At 42.6% G+C, this 13,022-nt stretch overlaps 1 protein-coding gene across 1 annotated transcript in view, besides 1 other annotated feature; it reads right to left on the bottom strand.

Annotated features, from left to right (window-relative positions):
• The window catches only part of ARL8B (ARF like GTPase 8B), a 58,620-nt gene that overhangs the window by 27,229 nt on the left and 18,369 nt on the right, over positions 1-13,022 (bottom strand). The window lies entirely within an intron of this gene.
• Positions 12,691-12,830: an enhancer, noted in NCBI's record as "active region_19377". NCBI's record gives its function as "activates an Ori minimal core promoter by ATAC-STARR-seq in GM12878 lymphoblastoid cells {active_cell/tissue: GM12878}" and the evidence as "EXISTENCE:reporter gene assay evidence [ECO:0000049][PMID:35858748]".

Genomic DNA, 13,022 nt, shown 5'->3' with positions numbered 1-13,022 from the left:
CCCCTTAAATACTTTAAAATGTTTGATGGCTGAAAGGAAAAAATTTTTTTTTCAAAGAATAGGTAAAATTCGACATTGGTGTCGTTTTCCATTTAGGTAGGTGTACGTATTAGTCCATTTTCACGCTACTGATAAACACATATCCAAGAGTGGGCAATTTACAAAAGAAAGAGGTTTAATGGATTTAACAGTTCCATGTGGCTGGGGAAGCCTCACAATCACGGTGGAAGGCAAGCAGGAGCAAGTCACTCTTACATGGATGGCAGCAGGCAAAGAGAGAGCTTGTGTAGAGAAACTCCCTTGTTTAAAACCATCAGATCTCATAAGATTAATTCACTATCAGGAAAACAGCGTGGGAAAGATCTGCCCCATAATTTAATCACCTCCCACCAGGTTCCTCCCATGACACATGGGAATTGTGGGACTTCAAAGAGGAGATTTGGGTGGGGACACTGCCAAGTCCTATCAGTATATTACCGATAATGACTACAATATAAAGGGGGGAAGGTAAAGGGGCCTCTACGTTGCTAAGGTTTCTACATTCTACATTAAGTGATATACATTAATTCTAAGTGGACTGGGAAATGCATACTTGTAAACTCTAGAAGAACCACTGCAAGGAACAGTCAAAACCCCAATAGAGAAATTAAAATTAATATAAAAACACTCCGCTGAAATCAGCAAAGGTAAAATAAGAACAAAACCAAAGGCACTGAACAGAAAACAAATAATTAAATGATTATTTGAACTAAATACTATGTTTAAACTAAGTCTTAAATATCAATAATTACATTAAAAGGCAATGGTCTAAACACATCAATGAAAAGACAGAAACTGTCAAAATGTATTTTTTTAAAAAGACCCAACCATATGTTGTCTTCAATAAACCCAGATTTTGTCTAGGCACAGTGGCTCATGCCTGTAATTCCAGCACTTTCAGAGGCCTAGGAAGGAGGATCACTTGAGGCTAGCAGTTCGAGACCAGCCTGAGCAACCTAGCAAGACTCTATCTCTACAAAAAATTTAAAAATTAGCTAGGTGTGGCGGCACGCGCCCTTAGTCCCAAGCTACTCAAATGGCTGAGGTGGGAGGATTGTTTAAGTCCAGGAGTTGGAGGTGGCAGTGAGCCTTGATCACATCACTGAATTCCAGCCTGGCAACAGAGCAAGAAGAAAGAAAAGAGGAAAGAAGAGAAACCCACTTTAATATAATTTAGGGAGAGGTAAGTTAGAAGTAAAAAGATAGAAAGACAAACACCATGCAACCACTTATCACAGAAAGCTGAAATAATTATTTTAATATCAGAAGAAAAAGCCGACTTCAAAGCAAGAAAATATACCAAGGATAAAGAGGGACATTACATAATAAAAGGATGAATTCACCAAGAAGAAGGTATAACATCCTAAATGAGTATGCACCTAACAAAACTTCAAAACACATAAAGCAAAAATTGATAGAATTGAAATAAACCCACAATTATAATTAGAGATTTCAACATTCCTCTCATGTTAATTGATAGGGAGAAAACCAGCAAGGATGTAGAACTTACCACAACAACCAACTGGATCTACCTCACAGTTACAGAACATTTCATTAAAAAAGAATACACATTCTTTTCAAATGCACATGGGAACATTCACTCAACCATATTCTGAGCCACAAATCAAAGCTTTGCCTGGGCACAATGGCTCATGCCTACAGTCTCGATACTTTGGGAGGCCAAGGTGGGAGGATTCAAGACTGGCCTAAGTTACATGGCAAGACTCGGTCTCTACAAAAAAATTATAAAAATTAGCCAGACGTGGTCGTGTGAGCCTGTGGTCCCAGGTACTCAAGAGGCTGAGGCTGACGTGGGTGGACTGCTTGAGCCTGGGAGGTTGAGGGTGCAGCCAGCCGTGATCACACACCACTGCAGCCCAGCCTGGAGGAAGACAGCAAGATCCTATCTCCAAGGGGGGGGGTGGGGGGAGAAAAGCTTCACAAATGTAAAAGGATTCAAGTCATACAAAAATCATACAAAGTATGTTCTTTCACCATAATGGAATTAAACTAGAAATAATTAATATAAAGCTATCTGGAAACAACCAAATACTTGGCTATATAATCTATTGGTCACAGAAGGAAGCCTCAAGGGAAAATAAAAACATGTTGAACTAAATGAGAAACATGTCAGAATTTGTATAATGCAGCTAATCAGTGCTCAGAAGAAAATTTATAGACTCAAATGCTTATATATTTTAGAGACAGGGTCTTGCTCTGTCGCCCAGGCTGGAGGGCAGTGACATAATCATAGCTCACTGCAGCCTCAGACTCCTGAGTTCAAGCAATTCTTCTACCTCATCCTCCCAAGTAGCTGGGACTACAGGCACACTTCACTATGCCCAGCTTCAAATGCTTATATTAGAAAAGAAGAAATGTCTCAAATTAACAATCTAAGCCCCCCATTTAAGAAATTAGAAAAAGAGCAAAATAAATCCAAAACAAGCAGAGGGCAATGGTAAGAGCAGTAAATAATACTGAACACAGAAAAACTTTGAAGCAAATCAATGAAACCAAAAGATCCTGATTCTCTAAAAAGATAATTAAAATTGATAAACAAAGGAAAATAAATAAAAATCACCAATATCAGTAAGGACATCACTACAGACTCCACCGACATTAAAAAAGATAAATAAGAGAATACTATAAACACGCTATGCTCATAAATTCAACAACTTTGATGAAATGAACCTATTTCTTGAAAATCACAAACTACCAAACACACTGGAAGAAAAAACGGCCCTCTCTCTACTGAAGAAATTGAATCACTAACTTCAAAGCTTCTTAAAAAGAAATCCCGGGACTAGAATTATTTTCCTGCTGAATTCTACCAACTATTTTATTTTATTTTATTTTATTTTGAGACAGAGTCTCACTCTATCACCCATGGTGGAGTGCAGTGGAGCAATCCTGGCTCACTGCAAGCTTCCCCTCCCGGGTTCAAGTGATTCTCCTGCCTCAGCCTCCTGAGTAGCTGGGATTACAGGCATGTGCCACCACGCCCAGCTAAGTTTTGTATTTTTAGTAGAGACAGGGTTTCACCATGTTGGCCAGGCTGGTCTTGAACTCCTGACCTCAAGTGATCTGCCCACCTTGGCCTACCAAAGTGCTGGGATTACAGATGTGAGCCACCATGCCTGGCTCCAAACTTTATTTATTTATTTATTTATTTATTTATTTTGACATGGATTCTCGCTCTGTCACCAAGGCTGGAGTGCAGTGGCAAGATCTCGGCTCACTGCAACCTCTGCCTCCTGGGTTCAAGCAATTCTCCTACCTCAGCCTCCTGAGTAGCTGGGATTACAGGCGTGTGCCACCACGCCTGGCTAATTTTTGTATTTTTAGTAGAGATGGGGTTTCACCATGTTAGTCAGGCTGGTCTTGAACTCTCAACCTCAGGTGATCCCCCTGCCTCAGCCTCCCGAAGTGCTGGGATTACAAGCGTAAGCCACCGTGCCCAGCCCTAATTCTACCAAACATTAAAGAATAACACGAATTCTACATAATCTCCAAAAACAGAAGAGGCACGAACACTTCCAAACTCATTTTATGAGCCCTGCATTACCCTCATAACAAAAAGTAGCTCACAATATTCAAAAGGACTGACACACTGTCCTAAAACAAGTACAATGATATAAGATACTTAACAGCAAGCAAGAGGGATATATCACTGCAGCTAGAATATTCATGCCAATCCACAGCAAAGTTCTACAAACTAAAGGATTTGTGCAATTGGGGTCAAGACCTTGACTAAAACATCTATCATGTGCTGAATGGTCTAAATTGTCAAGTTTGTCCAACCAAATGTGGTAGGGATTAGGGGTGTGAGAAAACATTTTAAATGGTCCATTTTCAAGTCATAATAAACCTAAGGACTGGCAGCCAGCCTGCGGATGTAACAAACTGCACAGCTCATGCACCTAGAAGGTCATGATAAGTGAACAGACTGTAGAAGAGGGGTCAGCCCATAAAAGGAAAGAAAGTTTCGTTATTGGGAAATCGAAACTTAAGTGGGGAAGGGGACGAGGATATAACCTTCTAAGGGTGATAATAAAACTTACACATCTGGGAAGATTGTAACTCCACAGTACTCAACCAATGAAGAACTGGGGGAGGGACTTGTGTGCTAGGAGATAAATTGCCTGTCGTAACTGCCCCAGGTGTGCCTGCCTACCACACACGGGATGGTGTCTCCAAGTCCATTTTTTGGGTTTGCATGGGTGAATGTGTGTTTCTCACAAACCTGGGGGCCCAACCAGGATCTCTGTGCCTGCATGGAGTGGAACTCCGGTCAAGGGGGAGACACATCCCATCAATTTAGGTGGCCTGCTCTGTCTGGGTATTCCAGCACCCGGCAGAGGCCATAGACAAACCCAAGACTGTTATTCCAGAGGCAGCAGAGACAACACAGGGAGAAAAGCACACACTGCAGCAACCAGGCAACCTTGTGCAGGAGCCCAGGTAGGAAAATTAGACTGTAAGTACTGCCTTAGTGGTTGGGCATTTTCAGAGGTCAAGTGTGTGCAACTGAGATGTATCTTAGATATGAAGCAAGTGCGGAGTCCCAATCCACGGTTCCGTTCTCCTGCGACGCAAACAGCCAGAGACGGACAAACCGATGCTCAGGGTGTGCAAGAAACCTCTAGTAGCGCGGGTCGAGTACACAGGGAAGAAAGCTCAGACATAGAGGCTGATCAAAAATGGGAAACAGAAATCCTAAACCTAGGGTACAAAGCAAAGAGGGAGCCAAAGAGACTCCCTCTGACATTCCCCCAGATAGTCCTTTGGGGAGAATGCTGAAGGTTTGAAGGGACAACCCTTGAACCAGGCAAAAGGAAAAGCAAAAGATAAGGCATCGCTGTTTTATCTGGCCCAAAGACCCTATTCATAAGCCTTCGATCTTTTTTGGCCTAAGTTTGGCTCAGATGAGGATTGGGTGTGCCAAGCTTTAATTCTCTATGTAAATGATAAAACTCCATCCTCACAAGAAGAGGTAGGTTACACTCTGCTGGATCAAAAAATTAGCTCCCATGTTCCCCCTCAAAGAAGAAGAAAAAGAACCTAATAAAAAGCCCTCACCCAGTGAAAGGCCCTGGAACCACCTATCACGCATGCCCCCTCCATACATCTCACAAAATAGTGGACAGGAAAATCAAGGGGCAGCAGGAGGGTTAGAGGAAGATAGACCTGGAGACCACAGGAGAGCCAAACCAACTGCTCCTTTAAATCCTTATCCAAATTTAAGAAAAGAATTAGAACAGTGTAAGAGGGATACTGAGAACTTCCCTATCCCTTCCACACAGCAGGCATCTAGCAATGTTCCCTCTTAGGGAAGCTCCCATGGGACACAGAGATATTGGCTTTGTAAATGCTCCTCTTACAAGTACTGAAGTTAAGAATTTCAAGAAGGAAATGAAATCACTCCTAGAGGATGCCCTCAGTTTAGCAGTCCAGCTGGACCAATTCGTAGGACCCAGCTTTTACACCTGGGCTGAAATGATATCTATCATGAATAGCCTATTCACAGGAGAAGAAAGGGGAATGATTAAGAGAGCAGCCATGACCATCTGGGAGAGGCAACACCCTCCTGGGCAAGAAGTCTTGCCAGCTGAACAAAAATCTCCAAACGTTGACCCCAAATGGGATAATAATAATCCCAGGGACCAAGCCCAAATGCAGGACCTCAGAGAATAATTAAAGGGATCAAAGAGTCCACTCCTAGGACACAAAATGTCTTAAAGGCATTCGAGATTCAACAAGAAAAAGAGAAAATTCCCTCCGCATTCCTGTAGAGGCTCAAAAATCACATGAGAAAATTAGATCCGGAGGACCCAGTAGGGCAAGGCCTTTTGAAGGCTAACTTTGTAACATAGAGCTGGCCTGACATTACAAAAAAATTAGACAAGATTGATGGATAGAATAAAAAACTGATTAAGGAATTATTCAGGGAAGCTCAGAAGGTCTTTGTAAGGACAGAGGAAGAGAAGCAAAAACAAAAAGCAAAAATCATGGTTTCCACTGTGGAAGAGGTAGTCAGAAAAACGTTAAATCAAAATCCCCCTCAAAGGAGAGAAGGGAATGATAGATTCTGACATAGAGAAAGAAGGGAAACGCAGGAAAAAGCTCCTAAGAGTGGATGTTACGAGTGTGGAAAGCCAGGGCATTTTAAGAGAATGTCCTGAATAGAAAAAAGAAGACCCCAATAGCAAAGACTTGGAACCAACCCAAATGTCCAACAATGATAGAATGGATTAAGAACACCATGGAATACTATGCAGCCATAAAAAAGGATGAGTTCATGTCCTTTGCAGGGACATGGATGAAGCTGGAAACCATCATTCTGAGCAAACTATCGCCAAGGACAGAAAACTAAACACTGCATGTTCTCACTCATAGGTGGGAACTGAACAATGAGAACACCTGGACACAGGGTGGGGAACATCACATACCAGGGCCTGTCGTGGGGTAGGAGGAGGCGGGGGATAGCATTAGGAGATATCCTAATGTAAATGACCGGTTAGTGGGTGCAGCACACCAACATGGCACATGTATACATATGTAACAAACCTGCATGTTGTGCACATGTACCCTAGAACTTAAAGTATAAATCAAAAAAAAAAAGAGGAAGAAAAGGTAATCCCCCTCATGACCATTAATGAAGACTATTGGGGTCAGAGGTTCCTTCTGAGTAGGTCCCACTAGGAACCCTTGATAAATTTGAAGGTGGGACCTGAGGAAAAAGAAGGGACATTTTTGGTTGATACTGGGGCGGCTTGCTCCTCCCTAATTCACCAAGGGGTACTGAACCAAGGAAAAATTGACAGTATCAGGGATTAAAAGGGAGAGATTTCAGGTTCCAATATTCAAGAAAATGTTAATTAGATTGGGACCAGAACGAACTGAGAGGTCACTCTTATATGTTCCCAAAGCAGAAACTAACCTCCTGGGTGGAGACCTGATTGTGAGATTGGGTTTAGAATTAGGAATACAGGCAGAACAATTAAAAGTCATAATGGGCCTCCTAATAAAGGAGGAAGAAAGACAAAATAATCCCTATGTGTCGATTAGAAAAAGGCAACAGCAGAGGGTTAAAAATCACACCCTTACAGACTGAACTAAAACAACCAGGAGAACTAGTTTGCAGAAAACAATATCCCATTTCTACTGAAGGGAGAAAAAGGCTCCAACCAGTAATAGAGGAATTAATTAAAGATGGACTATTAGAACCCTGCATGTCACCATACAATACTCCAATTCTCCCAGTCAAAAAGCCTGATGGGTCGTATAGATTGGTGCAAAATCTAAGGACTATAAATCAAATTGTCCAGACCTGCCACCCTGTGGTGCCCAACCCCTACACCCTCCTTAGTAAGATACCCTATGAACATAAGTGGTTCAGTGTGGTAGATCTAAAAGATGCATTCTGGGCATGTCCCCTAGACCTTAGGAGCAGGGACCTCTTTGCCTTTGAATGGGAAAATCCTACAACTGGGAGAAAACAACAATACCACTGTACTGTGCTGCAAGAAGGCTTCACGGAAGCCCCAAACTTATTTGGTCAAGTCTTAGAAAAAGTCCTGGAGGAATTCCAACCTTCCAGGGAAACCCAGTTGTTACAATATGTAAATGATCTTTTAATTTCTGGGGAGAGGAGAGCCAAGGTATCAGAAACCACTATAATAATTTCCTAGGAGAGAGGGGATTGCAAGTCTCTAAAAACAAACTGCAGTCTGTAGAAAAAGAAGTTAAATATTTAGGACACCTGATTAGTGAAGGAAAGAGAATAAACCCAGAGAGAATATCAGGAATAGAGGGGTCTACCTTTTCCTAAGACCAAGAGAGAACTCTGAAAATTTTTAGGTTTAACTGGCTGTTGTAGGTTATAGATTAAGTCATATGCTCAAAAGACAAAGATTGTGTATCTGAAACTACTAGAGGAGGAACCTGATTCCTTGCAATGGTCCCCAGAAGAAATTCAGGCAGTGAAAGAACTAAAACAGGCCCTCATTACAGCCCCGGCCCTAGTCCTCCCATCTTTAGAGAAACCATTCCATCTGTTTGTAACAGTAGACCAGGGCATGCCCCTTGCGGTGCTCACTCAAACCTGGGGAGGGAAGAGGCAACATATTGCTTTTGTCTCCAAGCTTCTTGATCCTGTCTCTCTCGGGTGGCCCGAATGTGTACAAGCAGTAGCTGCCACAGCCCTGCTGGTAGAGGAGAGTCGAAAGCTATCCTTTGGTGGGGCCCTAATAGTAAGCACCCCACACCAGGTCAGGAATATATTAAATCAAAAAGCCGGGAGATGGTTACTGGATTCTCAGATTCTAAAATATGAAGCCATATTACTAGAAAAAAAAGATTTGGTCGTAACAACAAATACTTGCCTGAATCCAGCCAGTTTCCTATACAAAGGAGAGAACAAAGAGCCATCAGACCATAACTGCTTAGATATCACTGAATACAAAATCAAAGCTAAACCTGACCTTAGGGAAGCTCCACAACATGATGGGATAAGGCTGTTTGTGGATGGGTTGTCCCAAGTGGATAGATGGCAAAGAGAGATAATGGTTATGCTATCACTGATGGAAATAAACACTCCTTATGTGAGAAAGGTAGATTACCTAATGGTTGGTTGGCCCAAACCTGTGAATTATATGCTTTTAACCAGGCGCTAAAGCTCCTTGAAGGCCAAGAAGGCACTATATTCACTAATTCTAAATATGCCTATGGGGTGGTACACACTTTTGGAAAAATCTGGACAGTGCAGGGCCTAATAAATAGCAGGGGAAAAGAATTGGTACATGGGGAACTGGTCAAACAGGTTTTAGAAAGCCTCCAGCTTCCAGCAGAGGTTGCCATAGTTCGCATAAATGGTCATCAGAAAGGTAACACTATAGAAGCTGTAGGAAACAAGCTTGCAGATAAAGCTGCTATGCAAGCCTCCCTGGAGGAAGAAATTAGACTATTTAGCCTGATCCCAGACATCCCTAAGGTAGTATTAAGGCCCCAGTTTACCAGAAAGGAGAAGGAAGAATTAGGATAGGGGTCACACAAACTGAAAACGGGAAGTGGGTACTTCCTGATGGGAGAGAAATAAGTAAACCCCTGATGAGAGAACTAACGTCTGTATTACACAAAGGGAGTCAATGGGGACCCCAGGCTCTGTGTAATACAATACATAGGAATGATGAGTGTATAGGGAGTTACACTTTTGCTAAACAAGTACGTGGAAGCTGTGTAACTTGTCAAAGGATAAACAAAAAGGTGATTAGAAAACAGGCCACAGGAGGAAGACCTCCCAGACTAAGACCATTTCAAAGCATTCAAATAAATTTCACAGAAATGCCCAAAGTAGGAAAACTAAAGTATTTACTGGTGATCAGAGATCACCTTTCTGGCTAGGTGGAAGTCTTTCCACTCCCAACAGCCACTGCTGGGAATGTGGTCAAAATAAAATTAGAACAGAATGTACCTAGATTTGGCCTGGTGGAAAATATTAATTCAGACAATGGGAGCCACTTTACCTCAAGGGTATTAAGGGGAATTATGGAAGGTTTACAAATTAGATGGGATTATCACACTCCTTGGTATCCCCCTTCCTCTAGAAAAGTAGAAAGAATGAATCAAACTCTCAAAAAGCATATCACCAAACTAATCTTAGAAACTAAAATGCCTTGAATGAAATGTCTCCCAATAGCACTCCTCAGAATTAGGACAGCCCCAAGAAAAGACTTGGGATTGTCCCCCTACGAGTTATTATATGGGCTCCCATATTTGGGCAGAGCTACAGATCTTCCTACTTTGGAAACCAAGGATCAATTCTTAAGAAATTATATACTGGCCATATCCTCTACCCTGTCATCCCTTAGGTTAAAAGGACTTCTGACTCAAACTCTTCCTCTTGAGTTCACAGTTCACCATTTCCACCCTGGTGACTTGGTGCTGATTAAGACTTGTTAAGAAGACAAGCTCCACCCAACCTGAGAAGGTCCCTATGAAGTGCTCCTGACCACTAAGATGGCCGTGCAAACGGCTGAACAGGGGTGGACTCACTGTACTCAAGTCAAGGGACTGGTAAAAGAGACCTCGGAAGGGAAGGAACAAGACCAGTGGAAAGTGCATGGATCACCTGTGCTACGGGAGGACCTCAGGCACAGGTGGTTCCATTTCCCCTAGGATGGGATACTGATCCTGAAGAAGTGGATTGCACGTTGGCTCTATACCAGGACAAGGATGCATGGGGAAACAAGACTTATAAGAGTCTGTCACTGCTCTTTCCCACATTGCAGAGGTTAACTTTAAGTAACCCTTAAAGTTAACTCTGAGAAAAATCTAAAAAGAAAACATGGGCTGGCCCCATTTCTGGAAGTTAATATGGCTGAGATGGCCTACTACGCAAAGAGCAGAAGGTCAAAATGGAAACTTGCAGGCAACTCCTCCCTACCCAATCAGGTTTGTAATCTATGTAACCAAGATGGTAGCACCCCAGACTATAAGATTCGATGCCTGCCAGGTCTCACCTTGTGGGAATTTTGAAACTCAGAGATAGTTCTCACAAGTGAATAAACATCTTTGCCCTGAACCAGATACAGATTACAGTATGGCATTACCATGCCCCAGCTGGGATGATGTATGGTGAACCACCCAATTCAGGGTTGGACAGTAAACACGGGGTGGGTAACTCCGAGCTGAAGACACTTAAAGAATAAACTACATCTGTCCAAGGGCTCCTTGCCAAATAACTGCCAAAATTTAGAACGCAACCCTATACTCATTGCCATTAGCAATCCAGCCACTCTAGGCCAAGAACCAAAAGTAGTGTCTCAGGTATATACGTGAGGGGCAGACATCACAGGGAAAGACCCCATAGGGTGATTTGTTCTCAAACTAATAAAAAACTCAACCTCTCATTTGCCTGGAACTACTCCAACTCCAGACCCTAATAAACACTTTAGTCTGCCAAATAATAACCCTAAAAGGTAAAAATAATTGAGGTAAAGGATTTAAGGCAAACCTTAGAAATTGAGACAGGGTGCAGGGATGTAAACGCCTGGGTCAAATGGATCAAATTTTCGGTACAAGCCTTCAACAAGAGTGACTGCTATGCGTGTGCTACGGGAGGACCTCAGGCACAGGTGGTTCCATTTCCCCTAGGATGGGATACTGATCCTGAAGAAATGGATTGCATGTTGGCTCTATACCAGGACAAGGACGCATGGGGAAACAAGACTTGTAAAGAGTCTGTCACTGCTCTTTCCCACATTGCAGAGGTCAGATCCCAAAGCAATCCCCTCATTCTCTCTAGGGAATATGAACCACTCCTCTTGCCTCTCTAGATAGGGGGCAGAGTTCAATAAGCCCGTGGGAAAACTCTCAACTTGTACGCACATCCTAAACATCACTGGTAAGTCAGGCGATGGCAATCACTCGGCTCTCCATATACCCCAGGCTAACGTCTGGTGGTACTATGGGAAAAGGAACCTCCCCAACTTGTTACCATCCAACTGGACCGGGACTTGTGCTTTAGTCTAATTGGCCATTCCCTTCACCCTGGCATTCCATAAGATACCTGAAAACACACACGGCCACTGAAAGCAGAGAGATTTGACAAACTCTTTTAATGTCAATATATATGTTGACTCAATAGGAGTCCCTAGGGGAGTGCCGAATAAATTTAAGGCCCAAAACCAAATAGCTGCTGGGTTTGAGTCAGCACTCTTCTGTGGTCAACTATTAATAAGAATGTGAACTAGATTAACTACATCTATTATAATCAACAAAGATTCATCAATTATACTCAGGACACCCTCAAAGGGATGGCTAGCCAGTTAGATGCCACCAGCCCAATGGCCTGGAAAAACAGGCTTGCACTAGACGTAATACCAGAAAAAGGGGGTGTAAGTGTTATGCTGGGTGGGAAACGTTATACTTTCATTCCCAACAATACTGCCCCAGATGGGACCATCACAAAAGCTTTACAAGGACTGACAACTCTAGCCAACGAACAGGCAGAAAATGCTGGAATTAACAACCCATTTACGGGTTGGCTAAATGGTTGGTTTGGAAAATGGAAAGGCATGGTGGCTTCAATCCTTACATCTCTCATAATTGTAGCAGGAGTCTTAGCAGTGGGATGTAGTATTACTTGTGTGTGAGGGGACTAGCACAGAGATTAATTAAAACAGCTATTAATAAACAATGCCAATAAGTTACCAGCAAAATAACCTGCTACTATTAGAAACCAAAATAAACTCACTCTCCTATAAGGAAGAAAGTAAATGACTTCTAAAGCAATTTGAGGACCAAAAGGGTTTAGATGAAAATGAGACCAAAGGAAGTAAATAGAAAAGGAAGGAAATTTGTGAGAAAACATTTTAAGTGGTCCATTTTCGAGGCATAATAAATCTAAGTACTGGAAGCCAGCCTGTGGATGTAATAAACCACACAGCTCATGCACCCAGAAGGTCATGATAAGTGAACAGAATGTAGAGGAGGGGTCAGCCCCTAAAAGGGGAGAAAGTTTCATTATTGGGAAATCGAAACTGAAGTGGGGAAAGGGACCACGGTATAACCTTATAAGGGGGATAATAAAACTTAGGCAATGTCCAGGAAGATTGTAACCCCATAGTACTCAACCAATGAGGAGCTGGGGGAGGGACTTGCGTGCTAGGAGATAAATTACCTGTTGTAACTGTCCCCGGTGTGACTGCCTACCAGACACCAGATCTTGCAAGACCGCCAATAAAAGTCTTGCTTCCGCTGTTCTTCATGTCTCCAAGTCCATTCTTTGGGTTTGGATGAGTAAATGAGTGTTTCTCACAGGCGTGAACCAACATCCCACCAGAATGTTATTGGTAGTAACCCGTCATGGTTTCTTTGAGCCCCAGGAACAATTATTATAGCCTAGAATTTCAGATGACAACAAATCACAGCTCCATACATACGGCTGCACACATACAGCCCCTCAGGGCATATTTTCCTTA

Source organism: Homo sapiens, chromosome 3 (genome assembly GCF_000001405.40).
Source record: "Homo sapiens chromosome 3, GRCh38.p14 Primary Assembly".
NCBI classification, from domain to species: Eukaryota; Metazoa; Chordata; class Mammalia; order Primates; family Hominidae; genus Homo; species Homo sapiens.
Note: the sequence above shows the minus strand (reverse complement) of the source record. Positions and strands in the feature narration are given on the sequence as shown.